Below are 25,934 nucleotides of genomic sequence, written 5' to 3' on the forward strand. Positions count from 1 at the left end.
TCTTATTTTGGAAAAACATGCTATTAAAGTTCAAACTCAAGGGCCCCCCACCCTCAGCCATATTTGACTGTTTGTCTTGAGATCTAGAGGCTAACAGAACAGCATGCCAATCCCCAAGGGAGCTTTGTAGAGGGATTGTCCAAAGATTTGGGTGGGTCTTAGGACACACTGGGATGCCAAAACTAATGGTTGCAAAAGAGGATAGAAGTGTTATGGACTCAGGCAAGCTTCCAAATCAAAGAGTATGCAGGGGAGCTCCAGGGGCTCTCTGAGGTTTTGGAGTCCATCCAAAAGAATTCTTAGAATCCCAGTTCTCTGTTTACCTACCTGACTTCCACAATTTTGCTAAAGGGAGAAAAAGAGAGAAAACAAGTATGGCAACAACTAAAGCCTGAACCAAACTCTTTGACCCAATATCAATCCCCAAGCAGTCCTAGAGATCCCCCATATAAGAGCATCTTACTTTGGCATGATGCTTATGAGACATTTTGGTATCTCCTATCTTATTTAATCCTCACAAAAATCTGGAATGTAGGTTAATTATTAATCTCATTCTGCGAATGGGGACACTGAGATTCCTGGAGATTAAATGACTTGTCAATAAATAGGCACAGCTGGGACTTGAAACCAGCTCTACTAGACACCAAATTTTAAATGCTCTTCCTTCCATACCACAAAGCTTCTCCAACACACTGGAGTCAAAAGGCAGATCTAGAGGCCAAAAAGCAACTATTGGGAAATTTGAAGCTTGTGAGATTAATGAGCTTCCTGATAACCACAAGTCAGATGAGGCCTCTATGTGGACAAACGAAAGCACAGAGAGAGGGTGAAATTACTTGTCTGATGTCAGACATTAAGTCAGTGATGGGGCAAGAATTTGAGGCAAAACTTTCTGACCTTCATGGATCTGTCAGTACAATCTCACTATTTCTTAATTGCCTGTCTGTGTGCATGTGTGTGCTCATAGACATGCTCATACACACACTGCTTGTGTGTGTATGCTGGGGTTGGGATATGAGTGGGAAAGACTGGGGAAAATAAAACAAATACTAATACTTAGGAACCTGAGAACCAAATACTGTTTAACCCCAGAATTCAAAGACAAGTTCAGAAAGTGCCCACTTCTAGAATGTAAATTAGTACAGCCATTATGGAAAACAGCATGAAGATTCCTCCAAAAAGTTAAAGTAGAATTACCATATGATCTAGCAATTCCACTTCTGGGTATTTACTCAAAATATTGGAATCAGTCTGTCAAAAAGATATCTGCACTCCCATGTTCATTGCAGCACTAGGCACATTAGCCAAGTTATGGAATTAACCTGTTTATCAACAGATGAATGGATAAAAAAAATTTAGTGTATACATACAATGGAATACTATTCATCCTTTAAAAAGAAAGAAATTCTATCACTTGTGACAACATGAATGGAATTGAAGAATATTTGCTAAGTGAAATAAGCCAGGCACAGAAAGGCAAATACTGCATGTTTTCACTTATATTTGGAATCTAAAACAATTGAATTAATAGAAGCAGAGAGTAGAATGGTGGTTACAGAAGCCAAAGGTGGGTGAAATGAACAGATGATGGTGTAAGAACACAAAATCTGTTCAGTGAGGAAGAATATGTGTGATTTTTTCAGCTCTATTGCATATCATGGTGAATATAGTTAATAATGCTGTACATTTCAAAATCACTAAACGAATGCATTTCAAATGTTCTCACCACAAAAAAAAAATGTTAAGTATTTGAGGTGATGGCTATGTTAACTAGTTTGATTGAATTATTCCACATTGTATTAATAAATCATAACATCACTTTGTACCCCATAAAGTACACAATTATTAATTGTCAGTTTACAATAAAAAATTACAAAATATTTTTAAAGTGTCCACCTCTGGCAACAACATAAACTGGCTGAAGAGCAGTCATTTGAGAAAGTCTCCCCAGAATGTAAATCTACCTAAAAGTTTCTGGTAAATACAGCTGATAAGCCTAGATATATACAAAAATCTCAGCAAGGAGCCCCACACTTGTCAGAAAAATAGTGACTGAAACAGGACTCATGTACGAGAAAAGGTAATACAGTGATTTATCACTAGCCCACAAGGCGAGAAATATTGAAAAAGTAGAACTGGCCAGTTAGGCATTGATAATTTGTTGCCTGTATAGTACAAGAGGGGCTTGAAGTGGGCAATGGGCAGTGGGCCCAAGAGGCTGAGCTTCTCATCTCTAAATGAGTCCTCCCCCAAGCTACTTCAGCTTCCTCACTTTGGTCTCTTTCTTTGTAACCTCAACCCAGCCAATTACTCAACTGCCCTATGTTCTCCTCTCTCACCCAATTAATCCATGTTTTTGATTCCACTAAGGGAAATAACGTAAAGTGTCATCAACCTAGTGGAGGAGATGGCGTGGAGGGAAGAAGGTTCTTACTGGATATAAACCTTGAGCCCAAGAGAAAAGGCTTTAATGGAGGAATTTCAAACATCAGTCAGCTGGAAGGAAAAGACATTTCTAGCCATCAACTTTGAAATCACACCGGGCTCACCATCAAATGTGATATTTCTGCCCCATGTACTAGAGCAACTCTTGCTTCCAGTAGCACAGAGTGGATGAGGAGTGAAAATATTGAATCAGAATTTCTGAAGTGTGCTGGCGACATGGTCTTATTGGGGGTATATTGCATGTCCCTGGTGGACCAGAAACCCCATGTGCCCCAGCCCTTATGATGCAAAGTACAACACCTGTTTCTGGTGGGGAGGTAGAGGGTACAGACACAGAAAGGATCTCTCCTCCTCTCCTGACCTTTCCTTGGGCCTTACTTCCTCTCCTCTTCCTTGTTCCCTTGCCCCTTCCTTTCCTCTGAGGCGCCCTCTTCTCTTCCCTCTTAATGTCTCCTCCTCATAAGGACCCTGCCACAACAATAATCCAGGCCCAATGTGGCATCAGAGAAAGGCTCTTCTTCCAACTTGCTGTGAAATGTTCCCAAATTCCCTGGGGTTGGGGAAACCATGAAGCTGCAAAGGGCCCTTTTGAAGTTAAGTCCTGATTTTGTACTTGAAACACCCAAAGATGTGAGTGCTCCTGAATTGAATTTGTGGGACAATAAAAACCATTGGGACAGGGATGCATTTTCGTTTTTCAGTTTCAAAAGTGGCAACCCTTCAGCTTTTAAATGAGGGGCCTCTGCCCAGCAATGCAGAGGAAAAGGTCTTCAGGAAACCAAGCTGCATTTCTACTCCTCTGTTGAAATATGACAGAATGTATAGAAGGATCACAAAAGCTTTGGACAGTTAGATTCGCTGCCCAAGTAATATCCCTGTCCCCAACATTTTACTGTCTGAGTTCTCTGCAAGAGGTGGGAAAGGAGCCTCTGTCCCCTTGTAAGTGACTCATCCAACCTCCTGGAAGATACTAATGACCTATTGGAAGGAAAAAACTAGGACTAGCCATAGGAGGAAGTTGTCAACTAGAGTTAGACCTTCCAAACTTTAACATCTGAAATCTAGCTACATGTAACTTGCCACTGTTTAGAAAAGGAATGCCAAAGTCAGAAGCTAATTGTGCATCACTTAGTGCCCTGCTCTTGCTTTGCCCAAAAATAGTCACTGAGAAAATCATCTTTATGCAGCATGGTGTCATGGAAAGGTCACTAAAAAGGAAGTCAGGCTTCCTGAGTCTTGACCTGATTCTGCTATCAGTTGACTGTGTGACCCTGCTCAAACTACTTCACCTCTCTGGACCTTGGTTTTCATCTGAAAATGAGGGAGTTACATTATTTTATCACTGAGCTCTTTTACAACTGGGTCAACCGGTGGTCTTTGGTCATTCAGAAATAGATAAATAGAACACAGTGGAAATGGCAAAAAAAGAAAACTAAAATTATTCTAATCCTATATCTCAGGTCTAGTGATAACTCTAACAGGGAAAAAGGGGCTACAAAATGTTTGCCTTTCATAGAAACTGACTTTGTTCCTCCTGGTTTCTTAGGGAAAGAAAAAGTCTCTCTGCAAATAGTGTGCCAATGGGTGCCTTTCACCCAGGAAGGGTGGCCACTGAGAAAGTGAATAGAAAATCCAAACTCACAATTACTATGGCTTATTGAACAATGTCTGGCACTGCCAAAGAGTGAAAAAATGTAGGTTAGAAAATGTAAATAATAGTGCAGCTCATTGGAAAGCCAAATTCTGTGCAGTTCTTTAAGAGAGAAAGATACAACTTACAGTCTGAAAAATGCAGAAAAAATCTCAATACTCCTCCCCACTGTAGCCATATTTTAAAGAGAAGAAAATTGAGGCAAAATGGAGCAATCTTTTGGGAACCCCAAATGGGGCTGAAGATTCTGCCCAAGTTATAGCTCTGAGTCTCAGACTCCCAGGTAAACTCTTTCAGCAGACCATGACCTCTCCAGAAGCAGGTGTATCCAAGTAGTCTGGCTCAAAAAACAAAAAGACATTATACCTTGAGCTCTGTTCTTCCTCGAAGCTCCACTTCATAGCCCTCACTCAGATTTTGAAGAATTGTAACAGTGCTGAGACTGACATGAATGCGATAAGCTGCAAAAGAAGGAGAGACATGATTTGGGCTCCTTTCTCACTGGCAAAATTAATGAGAAAATGTCAATGTAATAAATGTCTTCACTTGTAAATGAACTAGACCATTAGCAACGTCCTGAGAGAGGTTTACTTAGGGTTTCACAAGAGGAGGAGACGGAGTGATGGCCTTCTTCACCAGGCCGAAATAAGGCATTAGTTGTAGCACCTATCAGCCTCCTAGACACTATCTTAAATGAAAGGCCATGCAATAGAAAGGTGTTAATTTAACTCAAAGGTTGAGATGGAGAAACCAGCATCTACTGTGCTCTCAGCTGAAACGTGACGTCATTTGAAGAAAGCTTGACTTCAGCAGCTTCTTTCACAGGCTGCTACTATGGCTGAACTCTCATGCTTTACATATCTTAGGCAAAATGATGTCTTTTCCATATGCATTCTTACAACTCTCTCTCAACATTGCTACACTTAAAAATAAAACATCAATGAGAAATATCCCAAGAACTCTTTCAACAAATATTTTATGAAGACTGTACATTTATAGCTGACGTTTGGGTGGGGGCACCTAGCTGTGTTTACACATGAATGTACTATTTTCTAACCAATGATCTCAATCTGGGATAAGAGATTTACATAGGGAACTGCCACGTTAAAATTTTATTTAGAACCTAAGGGTAATTATTTGATTAAGAATAATCACTTGTTCACTCAGGTAAGATCCTTGACATTTCTAAAAACTGTCACCCTATGAAGTGAGACCTTGTTGAGGTTGAGTCTTAAATAAAAGTCCAAGGCTAGTTTTCACACATGCTTGAGAAAATCATTTTTTTTAAAAAAAAAGCTGATTACAACCTGAGTAGGAAGGCATGGCGGGAGAGAACTGCAAGGAGTTTCTGCTGTGTATACTCACAGTGACTTTCTTTCTCTTGATAGCTCAGTACTGTTGTTTGTTTGTGCCTTCCTCATTAACTCATGATCATCCAAAGCCCTTACTCAAAAAAGGTTGACCTATTCCTAAAATACACATGCCCAGCCAGTATATTCCTAGCCAGTCCTATGTGTGCATCCCACAAGCATCTGGTCTTCAGGGAGCCTTTCAGTAGAGTAATCTTGATGGTAGGGAACACACAGCTTAAAAGAGAGATAGCTCATACCAACCACCATCCACTTGTATGGTAGGGAGAATCACTCCAGGACTGGGTCACGAGTCACTTCCATTCCAGAATCTCAGTGGTTTCAACTGAGCACAAAGGAGATATTGATGAAATAATTTTTTTATTAATAGATATGTGACATGTCCTGATTTCATATCCAATGTGAGGAGAGGCTACCTCTCTACAGATCTCCATTCAGTTGTGGAGCTTAATGTCATATTTGGGTCATAGTCATTAGCTTTTAGAAAAGCACATTAACCAGCTCCTTTAGCACAGAGAGCACACGCGTATACTTCTTTGTATGCTTCACAATAACTTCCTTGCACAGTCAGTGCTTAATAAACACCTGCTGTGGGTGATTCACTCCATTTTCTTCGTTCTAGCTGATCACTGGGCAAGGTGCTGTCTACATCTCAAAATTCAATTTCTGGTCTCAACTTTGTATTTCCAATGTGAAATGTGTGGAGTTTTCCCTGGTTCAGACCAGAATATGACTTCAGCCTTCTACAAGCTTACATCAGTCCAGAATACTGTGCCAAATCTGCATTGCAGTTCCATGATAAATTTCACTTCATCTTGGGTTGCACTTCAAGAGTAAAGTCATATGCAAAGTTATATTAATGCAGCAGTTCCTGGATGACTACTTCCATGGCCTCTGCCATATCTAAGGAGTTTGAAGACTTTCCCAGATGTCAGAAAATTTATTCTGACAACAGCTTCTAAGTTCCATACTGCCTCCTTAATCATGGCAGCACAGGCTAGATTGACTAAGACTGGACCCATTGTGTAAGCCTGTTTCTACACATGAGTGATGGGAAGTGGGGTCAGACAGGGCACCACCCACTGTGATACAGTCCACCATAACATCAGGGACTAGTTTGAGTACAGTGCTGAAGCTTGGGAAGAACTCGTCTTGCCAGAGTTAAGCCCTTCTAAGGGCTTAAGTGGTTTCTTCCCTTTTTTGGTACAAAATCCATGAAAAATGAAAACTGCATATAGAATTTAATGTTATTCTCTATGCTTTTCCTATAGTAGCATAAAAAATGCTTTGCTCAACCATGATATAAGCAAAAGGCACATTGTGATTCTGTAGTGGTAGTAAATAACCGAGTAAGAGTTGAGCCAGCATCTTACAAACAACAGACAAATGGCATATGGTTTGTACAGTTTTCTTTTCAAAGAAGCAGAGAAGAAATGGTATCTTTGATAGTATGTCTGTTTTGATAGAAGCTAAGGGTTTTATATACAGGGAAGTTGCAATAAATTATTTCAGAATTCCAAGCTACTTGGATTGAGGGATTATTGCTAGCTAAATTGTAGAGGCTATTTGATGAAGCCAGAACTCCTGGGGTCCTAACTGGTTCAAAAAGGGGACTGCAACAGCAAACAGCAGCCAGCTGGGAGGCAGCTGGCTTCAGTGCGTCTCCACAAACTAGTTGAAAAATGGAAAATATTAGTCCCTTATGTAGTTCTTTTCTCAACATGACTCCCACAAACCCACAAGCCCGGCCAATTTTTTTCTTTACCCAAAATACTATTTTAGCTGTTTTTATCAAATTGAGTGGCTGTTTTGGTGTCACTTAGCTACAGCTTCATTTCTAGAGAAAGAAAGGTACATGTTCAGTCCAACATCACCCCCTACTGGTTTGCCATTAGAGACCAGGAAAATCCGTGATAAATCTTAATCTTCTCAAATTATCTTTTATTTTTCTTTAAAACATTGAAACATCAAGTATCCTGCTCTCTTTCACCTCTCTGAAGAAGAATCACCTTCTCAATAGCAGAGTGGTGCCATCCTATCCATCTCTCTATTAGGTACTCACGTAAGCCTGTAGATTCCATCCGAGAAGCTGTGTTCACAGTGTCTCCAAACAAGCAGTATCTGGGCATGGTGAGGCCCACCACTCCAGCAACAACCGGCCCTATAGAGTATCAGGGGGTTGGAATTACAGTCAACAGGTATGCACCCAATGCTAATAGAGGAATAGTGCAAAGAGGAAGGAATGTATCTTTGTAAAAGAATAAAAGTTGCCATCATATAGCTCTGTGAATCTGAAGAAAGACACAATGAGTAGTGAACTCTTTGCCCTACAAGAAAGCAAATTTATAACAATGCAGACATGACTGCCCTTCTGATGTATACCTTTGTTCCACGTAACAGTTACACCTGAGATGCTTATATTTGTCAACAGGGACAAACAAGTATCAAACCCAAACCAGAAAGGCCTGGGCAGGGATTCAGGGTCCAAACATGTTTGTTGTAAGGAAAAAAATGTGACTTTTTCTTGTGCCTTAGGGTTGGAAGAAAGGCTTTCATGGGTTTATCTGGTTCCCAAACTGTGTCTATCAAGAGAATTATTCTAAAACATTTCAAAAATCTGAAAACAAATAGAGCTGACTTTCAATTATCTGTGTTGGGGCATGGAAAAGCAGTATGTATATATAATCAAAGGATATTTTGCATTTAGCATTTTTTGTTCTTACATTTTAATATGGCTGTGTTAAGTGTTCAAGGTAATTGAGAAAACTTCAGCAGCCGTACTGAAAAGTCAGTTTGGGAGTATCCAGAAAGTTCTTCACCTTCAACTTTCTGGTTTCTGCTCTGATTTTGTTTTCCTAAAAAGAGATAGGGGGTCTCACCATATTTCCCACGCTGGTATCGAACTCCTGAGCTCAAGTGATCCCCCCACCTCGGCCTCCCAAAGTACTGGGATTACAGGCATGAGCCACCATGCCTGGCCTTCTGCTCTGTTTTTACGGCTAGGCACCAAGGGGAATAAAAAAGAAATGTAACACATAGTCTCAGTTCTCCAGGAATTTATAGTCTAATTGAAGAGAAGATACTATCAAAGAGGAAGCAATTAAGCAGTAACCCAAGACAACATATGGCTGAGGCAAGAAGCACAGACAGAGGTGCTATAATAACTCAGAAAATGGGAGGAGGTGCTTATTAGGACCTGACTCAATCAAGAAGGGTCCAGTGGAGAAGGTAGGATTTGATCTAGGTCTTGATGGGTGAGTAGGATTTGAACAGTGGAAAAGGGACATAAATCAAAGGCTTGTGGTTGGGATTGTACAGGGAATTTGGGAAGCTCTTAGAGAGAACAGTCTGCCTAGTTCACATGGCTCACGAGAAACTGGAGACAAGGTTGGATTAAGTGGGTTGTACAAGATGGAGGATCTTGAACCACTAGAGAATTTTGAGCAAGGAATTGCATGATCTTTTTTCTCAGATCAGTGTATAAAATGCATTGAAAGGGGAAAATGTAAAACCAGGAAAACCCTCCAGATGGCTGCTGCAGTAATCCAAGCACAAAGTACTTAAAAGGAGGCAATGATAAGAAGTGGATGGCCATGAAGAAGTAATAAGAGAGACGTAAAAGAATCAACAGATTTATTGGCTGTCTGATTGACAACCATGAGAAAATTGCCATGAGCTTGTGAGTTTATGCTGATTTGTGGGAAAAGATGACTTGAAGTTTTAAATATGTTAAATTTGAAATAATGGTGAACCCTACAAGAAGAGGTATGCTGAGGGGGGTTGGAAATGTGAAACTGAAGCACAAATGACAGATGAGGGCTTTTCTCTAAAAGAAAAAATCAAACGCCTGCTATGTGCTAAGAACTCTGGATACAAACATGAGTAAGATATGCTTCCTGCCACCAAGGAGCTTAAAGCCTAATGGAAGGACAGACAAGGAAACACAGATTATGCTGATGACTATGAGAAGGATGGATGGTAAGAGGCAAGAGTGAAAGCAAGAAGATGCTATTGCAGTGATCCAGGCAAGAGATCTTGGTGTCCCAGGCTTGGGTTGTGAGAGTGAATAAGAGACAAGAGAGATCAATAAATATTTAAAAGGTAAAGAGTGTTCAAGACTTAGTAGTTAGTTGAACGTTAAAGGTCAGAGTAAGGGAGGAGTCAAAGAGAATGACTCTCAAGACTAACTGGAGTAACTAGGTCAATGGTGGTACCACCAACTGAAATAGAGAATAAATATAAGAAGAGCAGGAAGTTTGTATGGGTAAAAAAATAATTGTTTTAGATGTGTCGAGTCTAAGGTCCATGTGGAACATTCAGGTGGGCATATCAGCAGGAATTTTGATATAGAAGGCTGAAGCTTAAGGGAGAAGACTGCACTAAAGCTGTGGAGTTGGAAGTCATCAGCGTACAAGTGGTAGTTAAACCACAGATATGAATGAGATCACCCATGAGAGTATGTAGGAGGAGAAAAACAGTGGATCCTGACAGAACACTGGAGAAGACCAATATAAGGGACAATTAGAGACAAAAGGAATTATCAGACAGTGGTAGGAAATGAAAGTCAGGTTGCTGTGGGTTGAGTAATAAATTAGAGGTGAGACATGCAGACAGCAAAAAGATCACAAGACTGAGAGCTTTGCAGAAAATGTTAGAGAACAGGAAGAGTCAAGAGAACCAGTAAATAAAGTGAAAAGCAGCATTCACAGAGTGAGGAGCATGTCATAAAAGCCAATTGAGGAGCATTTTAGGGAGGCTTGTCATGAATTCCAGATGCTGCAGAGGTAAAGGCAGACAAGGACCGGGGAAAGTGGTGAGAACTGAAGTCAGATTGCAAAGGGGCTAAGGAGGGAGTGGACAGTGAAGAAATGGCACAGTGGATGTCATTCATTTTTTTAAAGAAGTTTGGTAGGAAAGGGGTGAAAAGGATGGGGGAAGGAAAGGAGCCTAGAAGAGCAGAGCAGAGAGAAAAAGGTGGGGAGTGGATACAGAAGCAAGAGGAGCTAGTAGGTAATGAATGTGGGAGGAAAATAATTCAGAAGTAGGGATTTTAATTAATTAAATGAATTATCCTAACTACAACATATACCTGTTGATCTTGTAGCATAGTCAAACATGGAAATATTGCCTCTAACCAAAATGGTAGATTAAAAGAGTTTAGTACCTGGAACAAGGAGCTGCTGCCCACTGTGTTAGTGCAGGTACTGGGAGGAGAGTAAATTTGGGTAGGCATAAAGGAATTATGCAGCCCGGACACCTGGATAATCCGGTGGCCAGGAATCAGGGGAGAGCTATCTTTTTCCCTTTCTTTTTTAGTCTTCCTAGAGGCGCATTAGAATGTTTCCTCTTACTTTAACTGGTTATTACCTGAGTGAAGGCCAATTCGAATTCGGACCGGCACTTCTGGCATGTGCCGCATCTTGAAAGTGCCCACAGAGCTCAGGATATCTAAGGACATGTTTGCAATCTCAGCTGCATGCCTACTGCCATTCCTCTTTGGGAGGCCTGAAGCCACCATGTAGGCATCTCCAATGGTCTCTACCTGGGAATTAGGAAAAATAGAATTAGCAAACAACTTATTTGTGCTTCTTTTTAGCACAGAGCTGTAAGGGTATAATGGAGGCCAGGTGGTCTTGTTGTAAAGTGAGAAAGGCAGAGAGGGACTGTCAATGATCCACAAGTCTGGCTGCATGTTAGAATTGCTTAAGGAGCTTTATTAAAAATACTGAAGTCTAGGCCCCACACCAAGAGATTCTGAAATAAGTGTAGCTACCTCACAGGCTCCTGATTGACCTTAGAAAAATACCAGGCTCTGAGACATTTGGGGAGAAGAGAAAAGGGAGATTTCTGGGACTGTCCCTAGGGTGTCCATGGGGGAGCATCTTAGGAGAAAGTGCCTATGATGCTTCCCAGCAAATGTTTCTATAGATTATTTGGGGTAAATAAGCTAGGGTAGCCTTAAGGAAAATATAGGGAAGGGGAAAGGAAGAACATTCCCTCTGCTTTGCCTTGCTAATACGATGAAGTTAGTTTTGCAGGCCTATTGGGTATGAGAACTGAGTCTCTTTCCACCAGTTACCTCCTCCTCTCCTACTGCTACCTCCCTGAGGAGCAGCAGTACTGGCCCTCAACTGCTTTGCAGGGGACGGTTAGGGCTGGACACTTGGAAATAAAGCCAAATCTATGTTCCTCACCTTCCCCACAGAAGTGTGCTCACTTTTAGATAACCAGTAAGTTGAAACTTTTTGGGTAAATCCAAAAAATAACTAAGCTGAAGGGACTTTTTATGAAATGCGCCAGTCAGACTGTGTTACTACAAGTTTGAATCCAGTTAAAACCCATGTGTTCCCAGAGAACTGCACTCACAGAATACAACAGTTAAGAACATGAAACTCTGAAGTTATACCATCTTGATTAGCATTTAAGATTCAACACTTACAAACTGTGTGGCCATGGGCAAATCACTTAATCTCTCTGTACTTCAGTATCCTTATCTGTAAGATAGTGATAATGATAGTAAAAACTTCGTAGGGTTTTCTAAGGAATAAATAATTTAATATATGTCAAAGCATTTAAAACCTGCCTATTGGATGATACTATATAATTAGTTCAAGCTATCACCATCATCATCATCAACATTATCATCATCATCATCATCATTATCAAATAGGTACATCTTGAAACCAGCCCTGGAACTGTGGGTATGATTCAGCTCCAGAGAAAGAAGTTTAGCAATCAGCAATAGGCTCCTCATCATGAATTACTATAGCCAATAACAATAATCCTTTCAATCTATAGGACTTTCTGCCTCAACATGTTTCCATCCAAGGTCTCCCTTACCTTGTGCAATTTGAGGAAAGGATACCTACCCTCAGATAGGCATGCCAGCCTGCACACAGGAAGGAAGGATTACAATGTAAATGCTACATGCAAGGGGAAGTCAGTGGCTGGCCATTATCAGAGATTAGTTGTTGACCCTTTAGCTTTGATGAGTCAGTCACCCAGGAGGCCCCAAGGATATGGATGAGGAGATTAGAAGAGCAGGGAGTATGGGCATGCATGGTCTTGGTGTACAGACTGCTGTGGAAAATTGTGGGTTGTGTCAGTCAACACAAGGGTGCTGAGGGAAAAGGAGGTTTAGAAAAGGGTGCGATTGGGATGCAGATAGTGGCAGGAAAACTGAAACTGAATCACTAACTTCATAATTCTACAGTAGCCTTCTCACTTCCATTTCAGATTATCAAGTACCAGGGGAGGTGATTCAAATTTTACAGGTAAAGAAAATAAAAACACAAATGAGTTTGGTCATTTGCTGCTGGTTCAATTTTTATTTCCTTTGCACTGTGCTGTTTTTAATAAATAGGGCTGAAAAAAATAAATTTCATTTTTGGATTTATATAGCCCTGCTCTGTTCTGAGAACAGCCCATTAACTCCCTACTGCAACCATTAAGTACCAAAATATCTAATGGCCTATTGCTAAGACCCCCAACAATTGTCTGAACAGAATCAGCTGGATTGATTAAACCAGTAGCTGTGTTACAGCCCACGCTGAATCATCTTTGATTTTAGTTTCAACTGAATTAGCTTTCAGTGATTTGTTTTTCTCTTCAGGCTGCTTGAGTTCAACAAGTTAAGACAGGTACTCTGATTCCATGGATTTTTCCTGCATCGTGGTTTCCATGTGTGCTTCTTGATTAGCTTGCAGCTCCTGCTGATTGACAGGTATGATGTTTATTTCTGAGCCCTATTTAGGTGGCTTGGCCTAGCCCTGAGGCTCTCTATCTGACCTGAAAAGGCCCTGTCTAATCTGAGATAAACACACTTTCTTGTGTGTGATTTGAGAGCTAGAACATTTCAGACTACTGTGAAGAATCCAATGAATGGAGCTACTCATTCTCCAGCTCTACTTTGGTCCTGGGACAGAGAAGCTGTCTAAAGTTTAGGATGCCTGGGGCATCTTTCTCCATCAATAAGACAAGTATCCATGATGCAGACAATGTAGAAATGTCCCTGCACAGCTATGAGATTTTTCGTCATTTTTGCCTAGAGACAAGACAACATATGTAAAAAAAGGTAAGGAGGCATGGCATCAAAATTAGTCAATGCAGTCATTTTGCAAACTCTAATAGAAAGAGTGAAAATTCAAAGGCTGGAGGAGTGAGAGAAGGTGGGAACAGGGGCTTGCCACCCCACAATTAATCACTTCCCCAGACCTCAGACCAATAGGCAGCTTTTCGGTTACCCTGTAGCAATCCCAAAGAGCCTCGAGTCTAATATTTCCCTGCTATAATGTCAAGTTCTCTCCATATAAAACAGTACCTGAAGGAGGAGACCAAATTTTTATAGCATGTATTAGATCTACACAAACCTTACCAAGATGAACTCTGTAGCAGTCACCACCTATGGGCAAAACACCAATACTTCCTCTTTATCCCCTTCAGTGCCTAGTACAGTACTGCCTACACTATTAGTACTCAGCCACTGATGTGCAATAACTCTCTTGGTCCCAACATCTTCTTAGTCCCAATTCTAGAAAAAAAGTTCAAAAGAAATCTGACTGGCAATCTTTTGCTGGGTTGAAAGTTGCTATTTTGTAAATTGGGAAATTACATGCATTCTACCCGGCTCTCATTTCCAGTGATATACCAATGGAAGGGGTGTACTATTTAATTTGTTATTCCTAAATAACAATATTCCATAAATTTTATTCTTCAATTTTAGAATACATATGGATGGGCCTCATATAAAAATTTCACTATGGAATATATTTTCCTGCTAATTAACCTACCTTGTAGACATCATGACTGCCAATTATTGCATCAAAGAGTGTGTACAGGTCATTCAGAAGATCCACGACCTCAATGGGCTCACTCATGGCTGAAATGGTTGTGAAGCCCACAATGTCGCTGAAGTACAAGGTGACCAAGTCAAAGCCCTCAGGTTCAACTGTGCAGCCCTTTTTGAGAGATTCAGCAACTGATCTGAAAAGCAGACACAGCTATTCCTAAGATGACACTGGTCCCCCTTCATGCCACATACACCTGCTAAAAATACACCAAATAAACCTCTAAAAATCACTGCTAATAAATGATGAGGAAGAAAGTGTTACATGGATGAAAACATTAATTCGTTCATTTATTCTACAAATAAGTGTTAAGTGCTTACAATCGGTCAGGAACTGTGCCAGGTGCTGGAATACAGCACTGGACAGACCTGGTCTGTGCCTTCATGTGGAGGGTTTTCATCTCTCTATACTTCTAACTCAGACCCCTGGGGAATGCTCCCAGGTGATTGCCCTTTCATGAGGCTAGTTTCCTTAATTATCTCCTAGAAGATCATGTTACAACATAATAAGTAAGGTGCCCTGGAAAACTTGGAAACTGTAGCAACAGATAAGGTTTTCAGCTAAGAGAGGAAAGACCTGGAAAAACGACCTTGCTACTTTCCTCTAGGAGCTCAAAGAACTGCTTTCTTTTAATCGGTCAACCTCCTAGCAAAGTCACGAAGTGACACACAGAAAAAACAAGCACAAAAACTTAAATGACCAGCATGATCTACAGGTAGTGGAAAATTAGGATGTGTGCTCTGCTCCCTTGGTTTCCAATTTTACTTTGATTTAAAGGTGTGACTAAAGCCCACTAGGAGAAGAGAAGGTGCAGGACAAGGGGAGGCAGCAGTTAGTTGATGGGTAATTTTTTTCTTTCTCTTTTTTTTTTTTAACAGAACACACTGTTATAAGGATTCACACTCCTCAGGTGTTCTCACATACGGTGGTAGCATCTGTGTTAGAAGCTTTTCCGTTTTCTGTTTTTCAATTTCCAGCTCTTCAGTCCGCTCCCGAATCAAATCTTCCAAGTTGCTAGAATATTGCTCCAACATCCGAAGCATAGAATCAATAATATTGGTCTTCTTCCCTTTATTAAAAGTTTTAAACTGGAAGTAAAATAGAAAAGGGAACCAGAAAATGCTTACTCATCAAACTCAGAGATGATGGAGCAGGTCCCCTTATCACAAATCCATTCCACCAAAATGCCAGGGCAGGAAAGGTGAACCCAGATATAAATAGGAAAAGTCACCACCCATCCTCACTGTCACCCTGACCCATTTACAGGGCACTACCACTGCACCTCTTCCCCCACCCCCGACCCCACCAGTTCTTCCCCTACCCTTCTGGTTCTTTCAAGCCTGAGCAAAGGTGTTCTGAGCCGGCTCCTTCAGTTCTGAGATGCTATCACGTGAATAGTAGCCACTTCTAAGACAACAGGATTTGGTCTTGAGCCCAGGCCAATTTTGTGTGAGGTAAGGGGAGAGAGGGCCCAAAGTACCATTTTACTCTTCTGGATCATCAGTTTACTAAATCATTCTTATCCTCAAATGCCACTATGTTGCCAGTTTTTGAACAATGAGAGGTTCCTTGACCTCTTACAGAGGGCTCAAGATCCACGTGATAAAATCAACCCCTATTTCTTACCGTGGAGTCCAAGAATAGTGGTGTCCTCTAGCACCTGTCCTTTGGTCAGTCAGAGTGATGTAAAATTCAACTGATTTTGCCCCCATTCTATGCCCTGATGCCTTAGAGATGTCTGCATGTCACAAATTTTCAATACGCCTTTTTGGGACCTTGTCTATCTACAGTAACAGGGAGCTAGGCATAGTATTAGAATCATGAGGGGTAGCCCCTCTGTACTGCTATAGTCAACATGCACATGACTGTGTTCACAACAACAAAAAATCGGAGGTGGTTTTGCTAAACAGACATCTAGGGCTCTGTCCCAGTGAACCTCTTATATATAGCTGGGCCACACATGCTCCACCTAGCACCCAATGCCCCAAGGCCAACACTAGGAGTTTCCCTTCTGAGCCTGGTTCACATCTGCAGGTCCATCAAAGTCCTGAGGATAACCTCGTAGCCAGTTTAGATGCTTTGGGCTCCCCCTATTGCCTAACCCAGGGAACCTCCCTCTCCTCCTCCTCCTCCCACTTAAGTTTTATTAACTGCAGGAAGTTAGGTGGCTAGCCTTGTCATCAGACAGCCTAAACTTCCACTGAAGCATTTCAGTGAGGGCAGCTATAGCAATGTCTTGTTTGAAAGTCTCATGATGTACACTCCCCCTATCTATCACTGGCTTCTCTGCTGCCTTCTGAAATAACATCTCTAGCATCAACACAGGGGCAAATGCTCTTTCTCCTGCCTCATGGTAAGGTTTTAGAAATTTGACCTTCATGGTCCTTCGCCTCTTCCATACTATTGAACACCTGTTTGAGTGTCCTCAAGAAACTCAGCCGGGCTAATGGAGGCATTGTTAGCTGGGGACACGGATGACTTCATAAGCAGGGCCCCTCAGGCTTTCAATCCAACTCTTTCTTTCTTTCCGCCTCAGATACCTGCCACTCATAAAGCATCTCATTGCTGTACTCCAGCCAGGCACAAAAGCCTCTCTGCCAGAGCTGACACAGCACTCATGGTGAGCACCCTCAGTTTTGGTGTCCTGTAATTTCAACAAAGCCTAAACTGCATGCTCCAACATTGGAATTGCGCCTTAGCTTCCACAGCAGGGCTCACTCTGTCCTTTCCTTCACTCCCCTTTCAATCCCCACCTCTAGGGAGAGAATCACCCCCTTTAGAAATTCAGTATCTTAAGGAGGAAGGTTATCACTTTTCATGTACCCCATTGCCTGGAAACTTAAGGAATCTCCTGCTTTTGCACGCCACATTTGCACTTTCTCTTTCTTCCATCTTGAACACCCTTTCAAACACTCCATATTTTTCCTGACCTTCCAAAAACAACCTGAAATTACCTAATTGGTACACTCATGAGAGTTCTCTGGTATCCCCAAAGTAAACATGGCTCTGTGAGGAGCCCCATCTATTCCATGATACCCATCATCTAATAGTTTCAATGCCATTGCCTTACAAATGCCTGATGGTTCAATTCCATCTCTGAAAGGTTGATCAGGTCAGATTGTGGATGGTCTGGAACAGAGGTTCAGACACAGAAGAACACTAGAACCAATCTTTGGGCTCTTGAAGGATGTGCTGATGACACTCCAGCACCAAGAGCCTCAAAGTAGCCACTCCCAGGCTGTTCCTCCAAGAGGAGTGCCCTTACCCCTTGCAAGAGGTTCCTTCCACAATATGACAAGGACCCAAGGAGTTAGCCTTGTGTAGGCTGACTTCAGGAAGGCTCCTGGGCAATGATAAGATTCAGAGTCCTTACCTGGTTAAATATTTCATCAAAAGTTGGTCGTTGTTCTGCAGCCTCAGCCCAGCACTGCTTCATCAGCTGGAGACATTCTGGAGGGGCATGCTCAGGAGGAACTACTGGTCTGTACACAGGAGGAGGCTTCTTAAGTCTGTTTATGATTTCTGTCCAGATGCGAGAAGAGAACCGTTTACAAATCATGGAAAAAATGACCAAGATTTGGCAAAGATAACTGACTTTTAGCCAAGAAGGGGGTAGGTTAGGAGATAACACAGAAGGGCCATCTCCTTTGCTCTCTCCTTAGGTGGCCTGAATATAGACTATATTTGAGCAAAAGCTGCATTAGGCAATGGGGGAGGAGTGAGAAATTAATCAGTTGGACTCTTGGTATCATTTAGGCACTTTATTCTGCTTCTGCTAGGTTTTAGATACTGCCTATCTGATGGCAATTCTAATGCTCTAACTTCAGGGACCTGGCTCCCCTCACCCATCCCCAATCATCTAAGCCTTCCAATCCCCACAATAGACCCACTTAACTCTTCTTACAAGCCCAGGCCCAGCCCAGGTCCAGGTCTCTACCTGGTGTCTAGGCAAAGGGAATTAAGAACTGCAGTAAACAGTTCAAGGCCTCATCAAGATCCTCCTGGTTGACGGTCCATGAACTCCACTTCCAGTGGAATATTTACTATATACCAGTAATGTGCTGAACGCTTTGCATGCATTATTTCACTGGATTCTCACATACAAACAAGTGAGGTAGGCACTCTTATTTTAATTTTATAGCTAGGGAAACTGAGACATGAAGAGAGTAAGTAACTTACCCGAGGTCACATGGCTAGTAAGTGACAGAGTTCAAATTTGAACCCAGACAATCTCAACCTGTTACACTGTCCTGCTTCCAAATGTCTCAGACTTCACGTGGGAATTCTTAGACTCCCTATTCAGACCCAACAGCCATTAGTGACAAAAGGTCTAGAGCAGTCAGACTGACCTTTTTACAAAAAGAAAACTCCCTGGCAGCAGGAAAAAAAAAAAAATCATTATCTCTCAATATCCCCAGCAACCCACACTGGGGCCTCAAACTGATCTCTCTGCTTCCAGCCTACCCTTCTCCAAACCTTTCCTAAAACACAGATCTGGCCGTATCACTTTCTTGCTCAAAAGCCTTTTATGACTCCCCATCACCCACAGAGTAAAATCCAGGCTCTTGTCCCTATCTCTTCAGGCTCATTTCTCATCTTTAATCCCCTCCCCACCACCTCCAATTCTAACTGCCACATCAGGAACCAAGCTTTGCTTGCCCCACCAGTGTGACCTTCCCACCCCTGAATTGGCTATAACACTCCAACAGTGCTGCTTTATCCCTAATACGAGCCCCTTGCCTCCATAAAAGAATTCCAGTTGTTGCCTCTGACTTCTCAGCTCCTTGTGACATCACACATTCTGTTCCTTTAACCCAGGTCAGGCTGTACCAGTAATGATTTCTCCATTACAGCATCGTGCTCTCAGTACAACAGATTCCATGAGCATGTACTCCCTGAAACTTGACTGCCTCATCCATTCTCTGGCAGATGAAGTCTTTGTCCCTTTCTCAGAACACCATCAAGTTGAATGGGCCACCTCTCTGCTTAGGCACAGCATGATTCATGCCCTTAAGGATCTCACAGTCCAATTGCAATAAACAGTGGCAAACAATATAAGTGCTCTAGCTGAGATAGGCACTTGTGAGTATAGAAAAGGCAGCTGACCCACACTAAAGAAGTCAGAGAAGGTTTCCCAGAGAAGGTGACATGAGTTGGATGAGGCAAGATTGGGAGGAGGTGGAAAAATTCCACCTCCTAGTATGTGAAAAGGCACAGAGATGGGAGAGACCATGATACTTTCAGGGCCCGGCCAGTCATGTGGTTTAGCTGGGATATAGAGAGTGACAGAAGATAAGCCTGGAGAGGTAGCTAGGGGCCAGATTGTAAAGGGCCTTGTATGTCATGGGAGGAGTCTCACCTTCACTTAAAAAGTGATGAGGAACAGTTGGAAGGCTTTAAGTAGAGGAATAATGTGGAACCCTGAGTGGGACAAAGCCTAGCTAAGTGGTTCTAGTTTTTCTTTCTTTTTCATTTTTAAAAGTTTTTATTTTGAAAAAAAATTAAACTTCCAGAAAAGTTGTAAAAATAGTACAATTGCCTGTACACCTTCACTCAGCTTCCCCTATTGTTAATAACTTACAGAAAAATAGTACAAAGGAAATTAACATTTGTACAATAATATTACTAGGGTTCTTATTTGAATTTCATCAGTTTTCCCTTAATGTCCTTTTTCTGTTCCACAATCCAATTCAAGATCCCATATTGCATGTAATTGTTGTGTCTTTGTCTCTTTCAGTCTGCGATAGTTCATCATTCTTTTCCTGTCTTTCATGACTTAGATGCTTTGGATTAGTCCTAGCCAGTTATTTTGTAGAATGTCAGCTGGGGTTTGTCTAAAGTTTTCTCATTATTAGATTGAGGTTATGTATTTTTTTTTTTTTGTCAAGAATAACACCGAGGTGACATTATGCCCTTCTTAGTGTATCATGTCAATGGGTACATAACATGGGTGTGCTGTATTACTGGTAATAGCTTATTATTGGTAATCTTGATTGCTTGTTTAAGGTGGTGTCTACAGGATCCTCTACTTGTAAACTCTGTTTTTTCCATTTGCAATTTGTAAGTATCTTGTGGGTTCATACTTTGAGAATATACAGATATCCTGTTTCCCCTCAAAGTTTTGTCTACTGATTTTGTCATTATTGATGGATATTGCCTAATAGCCAAGTGTCTTGGTGGGAGATTTGGATGGAAGCCTGGAGCATGTCACAGGGAAACAGTGGTAAGGCCTTGACATCCAGAAGCATCATGAGGGATACTAAAATACTTGGCAGGGAGTGTCTCAAAGGAGTAGAGGGGACTGTGAAATTAAAAAGAAAAACAAAAGGGACTGGCATCAGTCCTGTAGGCCCTTGTTTTACATCACAGTCTGAAAAAAGGCCAGCTTCTTGGGTGGCGAAATTTCTTCCAGATGCCTAAAGCTGTCTGGCTATAAGTCCCACCTGTACATAACTTGAGCTGCTTGCAGACTATCAGGCTGTTAGCACTAACACTCTTCTGGAAAATCATGACAGCCTGAGTTGGTCTGATGATCTCGGTCATGGTGGACCCCTGGGGCCCTTTTCTCACCTCCCGCTTACCTTGAGCTGGCAGATCCATCATGCAGAATGGGGTACCCCGGACCATCACTTCTTGCATGATGATGGCAAAGCTATAGACATCTCCTGCAAAAGAACCTAACCTGCTGCCTCTTGGAGCTCTCAACAGTTCAGGGGCCGTCCACAGCAGCTCTAAAAAGAAAGCATTGTGTAATGAATGCAGGGAGGATTAACTGACAATATCTGCAATGCCCTCAAGGGCTCAGAGGGTACTGTTTTATTGACTGCCTTATATTTTTATTAGACAGACTGCCATGCTAGTGCCCCCCATCCCCCAGGGTCTGAATCTATTCTTCTAAGGAATTATGAACAGAGAAAACATACTACTCTCTCCACCCCAGGACCACGCAGGCAGACACAGCAGCGATGTGGGAAAGGGCACAGAAGCTCAAAGTATAGAAATTCTCTGGTGCTTGCTTTCTTGAGCCTGCAAGTAGCAGTTGGCAGGTTTCCAGGGAAAGGCAAGTGTGCTACCACACTGGTTGCCATGGATTTGCTGTTTGCTGAGATCTATATGTGTCTGGTAATTTGATTGTGCTGGGGCTAAGAGATTCACAAGTTGCTTTCTCCAGGTCTCCTCTAAAAGGATTAGAGTTACCCCAGCCTTCCTATTCCTTGCAGTGCAAAAAGGTGCAACAATTCCTTCAACTCAGTTCTGCAAATATTTATTGATGGTCTACTATGTACCATGCCCTGTGCTAGGCACAGAGGTGGTGCTAGAGATGAATCAAACTTGAGGAGTTCACAGACCAGTCGGAAACACAGACATATGCACCCCTAACTGCAATAAAAGAGAGGGAATGATGAGGGCCACTACATAGTAAAGGGAAATGAATCCATTAAAGGTCAAAGTTAAACACCCATTGTGTGCTCTGCTGCATTTCAGGCCCCGTCAGGGACAAAACATTATTTCTGCATTCAGAGTTTATGGCAGTGAGAATGTCAGAAATTTTTCTTGGGTGGGGGGCACTGTAAGCAATGTATAAAGAAATATAATTTAACAATAGAAATACAGTACTCAAAAGCTGGAAGAAGAGTGTTTTAGATTGAATTATATAAAGTTACCATTTCTGTGAATCAAAAACAGTTAGATATTGGCAATTTCATCAGGTTCAAACTAAAAAAAAAACTGAGCTGATCAAATTAATCCAGGAAGACTTCCTGGAAAAGTTAAATTTTAAATGTGCTTGTTAGGAAGGTCAAGGATGCAACTTTCTGGAGCTGAGAAGGTAAGGGCTTTTTTCTCCCTAGAAAGAACAGCATGTGCAAAAGAACAAGAGGCAGAAAGGAGCAAATTGCGGGTGGGGGGATGCCGGGTGGTGGTAAGCAGATTAGCTTGACTGAAGAGAAGGGCTCTGTTAAGGAATAATGAGAAATGAGAAGTGGGGTTGATGAAGTGGGGGAGGGCGGGTGTCTGGAAGAATGGGGGCAGAAGGTGAGAGGCCCTGAGAGCCAAATGAAGGCATTTGGAGTGAATACAAAAGGCAGTAGGGGTGCTGGAGCTGGAGAGGGATTTGATGAAAGCCCTGTTTGGGAAGATTAATCTGGCAACCTGCACAAGCTGGATTGAAGGAGAGAGGCTGGAATCAGGGAGATCAGCTAGGAAGTTATTGCAGTAAGAGCAGGTAGTGAGGTGAGAGGGGCCTAAATGGGGGTGGGGGTAGTAGCAGCAACACAGTCAACCAGATACACTGGAAGGCTACAATGGAGAAGGAAGTGACAGGGCTAAGGATAGGCTCCCTGTGCCTTGAGAATGAGAGGGAGTTGGAGTAAACAACAAGGTGACATCCAGATAGTGAGGTTGGAGACAAATGTCTGCTAAGAGTGAGGGTATCAGGGAGAAAGTAATGGCTAACTTTTCATCTTGTTAAATTTTGGGTATTGGGAAGAGAGTCCAAGAAACAAAGTCCTATGAAATAGGAAGAAGGGTGAAAGGTGAGAGATTATTTTGGTTTGTTAGCAAAACCCAGGAAAGAGAAATCCACCATGGAAATTCTTATTTTCAGCCAATCCTGATCAAAATGGTGAAATAAGAAATTCCAGTTTCACCACCAATCATGTACCCATCTTCTCTCTTTGCTCTTTAAGTGTCCCCAGGCTTTGTCCCCCAACCAGACCCCTCTGAGCTTCCACCCACCATCCACCACTCACTCACACCCATGAAAGTCTCCAAAACACTCACTATAGTGATTTTGCCCCTATGTCTCCCTGCCTAGGAAGATTTATATTTACAAATCAAACGGAAAACAATGAATGATACTTGAATGATTGAATGTCAAAGGAATACATTTATAGTTGCGGGATTTTAGGCACCATGGTTTTGGAGAGGAGTGCAAGGATGAATATTTGAGAGCAGGAAAAATGGCATGTGGCTGCTTCTTTTTGGCATCCTTTCTCCCTGCACATTTAAAAGCACAAGATGGAAAAAGAGGGCAAAACTCTCTGGTAAAAGCTGGGTGATTAAATACAATCATTACAAAATAGTATTTCCAAAGAGCACTTACATGTATGTTGTTAATGGCTATAATGAGGCTTTTCTGCACTATACTTATATAATCGAGAGTGGACAGTAATGAATACATTTACAATCCGCCCCCATTTCCTCATCTCCACTCCAGAACCAAGTAAGAGCCACTAACTACCATTAGAGTTGAACTCTCGGGAAAACTAGAGAAATTACTTTGGTTTGTTTTTTATCTGCTGGAGCCACTATTAACTCTGAGCTTTGCTAGGGTGATAGAATTGACTTTGGAGAGCTACTGTGGTATAGTATAAAAGAACACAGAACTGGAAGTCTAGAGACCCGGGTTCAAAATCTTAGCTTGGTCACCAAGTAGCTACCTTTCTGAACCTTGGCTTCCCTATCTATAAAATGGAAGTTGGGTCAGATGACATCCAATGGCCTTTCAATTATGAGATTCATTTAGCCTCATATCTAAGGTAGGGAGACAAGTTCCTTTATTTCATTTTATTTTGTTCTTTTGTTGATTCAACAAATATTCTGTCAGGAACTGTGAAAGGCACTGAGAAAGGCAAACCTGTTTCCTGCCCCCACAGAGCTTGTAGTTTGGGTGGGGGGAGACAAGGTTAATTGAATGAGTAATGCTAATGAACTATGGTATCACAACAAAGTTCAGGGCCCTGAAGGATTATAAAGAGGGCAACCTAGCCCAGCATAGGGGTCATGGAAAGCCTCTTGAGGCAGTGGTACTTAAGTTGAACCCTGAAGAAATAGAATTTAGCCAGACCCAGATGAGTATATGAAAGAGTGGGAAGAGAAGAGTGTCCCAGGCAGAAGACACAGCTTGTGTGGAGATTTAGTAGTAAGAGACAGCCTGGTGTAATGTAAATAAACAACTAGAAGCAGTTCAGCATGGCCAGAGCATAAAGCAGGGGGGTAGTGGTTAGCATGAGAGGTCAGCAAGTTCCAGGCCATGCAGGGCTCAGCTCGTAAGCCATGTAAAGGAATTTGATCTTTATCCTTAGAGCAATGGGAAGCCATTCGATAGATTTAGGCACAGCTGTAACATGATCAGATTTGCAGTTTAGAAAGCTCCTTCTGGCTGCAGTGTGTGAAGAATGGACTGACCATCCATACTGCCACTGCAATTTGGAGAATGGAGTAATATGATAAGAGGGAGAGACAGAGACAGAGACAGAGGAGACAGACAGACATAGTCCACCCAAAAGCACAAAACCAGAAAAGAGAGCCCTGCAGCTATCCTTTACCCACCCTAAGACTAGATTTTCTTAAGTTTCAAAGTTGCCCATCTGGAAATTAAATGGAACTCTGAGAAGCTAGGCGTTTTGTTTTTTTTTTTTTTGAGACAGAGTCTCGTTCTGTCACCCAGGCTGGAGTGCAGTGGCGCAGTCTCGGCTCACTGCAACCTCCGCCTCCCAGACTCAAGCGATTCTCCTGCCTTAGCCTCCTGAGTAGCTGGGATTATAGAAGCGCGCCACCACGCCCAGCTAATTTTTGTATTTTTAGTAGAGATGGGGTTTCACCATGCTGGCCAGGTTGGTCTCGAACTCCTGACCTCGTGATCTGCCCACCTCAGCCTCCCAAGGTATTGTGTTTTATAGAGAATTGATTTTGACAAAATACTAAGTACTTGCCCTCTCTACAGGATAGGGGCTAGAATTCAGAAAACCTGAATTTGAAGTCCTAGAACTGCTGCTAAGTCACTGCAGGTTTGGAGCAAATCATGAGCTTCAGTTGTCTCATCTGTAAAAGGAGGGAATTGGACTAGATGACTCCCTAAATTTAATAACCCACAAGTCTTATAAAGAGCAAAGTCTTATAAAGTCCAGATACCACCAATGACTGGACTCTCTGTCTATGCATGTGTCTCTCTCTCTCTGTGTGTCTTTCATTCTTCTTTTCTTTTATGTAGTAAAGTCAGCAGTTTTAAAACTTACGCCAAAGGTAATTTTAAGAATATGGATATATGATGTAGTTTTGCATCTCTCTGTCTCTGTCTATCTTTTTTTGGGCTGTTTGCTTTTCTGTCTTTTGTGTCACTATCTCTCTTCTTTATGCTTGCAATATTGGTTAAAACATTTAATGCCCACATTTCCTATACGTATTTCATCATATTTGTTCTCTTTCTTTTTCCTCTTTCTCCCCCTCATCTATCTGCTCCTTCTTCCCTGGTTCTCACCCACCCACCCCCATCTCAGATTTCTCCTATTTCTTTGATCTGTTATAACTCCTACTGGCATTGTTTAGTGCTACCACTGGTGCACTAGACAGAAGACAAAAACACAAAATGGACGTTGTTGGTGTGAAAATTGATGATATGAACTGGAGTTATCTTATTATATCCAATTAAATTGGAGTCCAGAGACCATGGGAGAAAAAGAAAAGCACTTGGGGCACAAGTGCCTGCCCAGGGATAATCTTGCAAGCCAGATACCGAAATGACCTTCTATAATCTTAATATCAGTTTTACCTAGTAGCTGATGAAAGAAACTGTCATGACTCTAAGACGAGTTTTACCTACAGCCATCACTTACCAATCGG

General features: G+C 41.9%; 1 protein-coding gene across 1 annotated transcript in view; it reads right to left on the reverse strand.

The window, feature by feature from the left end:
- GUCY2F (guanylate cyclase 2F, retinal) overlaps nucleotides 1-25,934 on the reverse strand; it is a 109,181-nt gene that overhangs the window by 4,750 nt on the left and 78,497 nt on the right. Inside the window, exons 11-17 of the mRNA NM_001522.3 lie at nucleotides 20,894-21,043; nucleotides 17,686-17,834; nucleotides 15,237-15,400; nucleotides 14,256-14,448; nucleotides 10,834-11,008; nucleotides 7,529-7,627; nucleotides 4,463-4,557 (exon numbers count right to left, since the gene is read on the reverse strand). Of these exons, the coding sequence (NP_001513.2) occupies nucleotides 4,463-4,557; nucleotides 7,529-7,627; nucleotides 10,834-11,008; nucleotides 14,256-14,448; nucleotides 15,237-15,400; nucleotides 17,686-17,834; nucleotides 20,894-21,043 (1,025 nt within the window). The remainder of the gene's footprint in view (nucleotides 1-4,462; nucleotides 4,558-7,528; nucleotides 7,628-10,833; nucleotides 11,009-14,255; nucleotides 14,449-15,236; nucleotides 15,401-17,685; nucleotides 17,835-20,893; nucleotides 21,044-25,934) is intronic.

This window comes from Homo sapiens, chromosome X (assembly GCF_000001405.40).
Source record: "Homo sapiens chromosome X, GRCh38.p14 Primary Assembly".
NCBI lineage: Eukaryota > Metazoa > Chordata > Mammalia > Primates > Hominidae > Homo > Homo sapiens.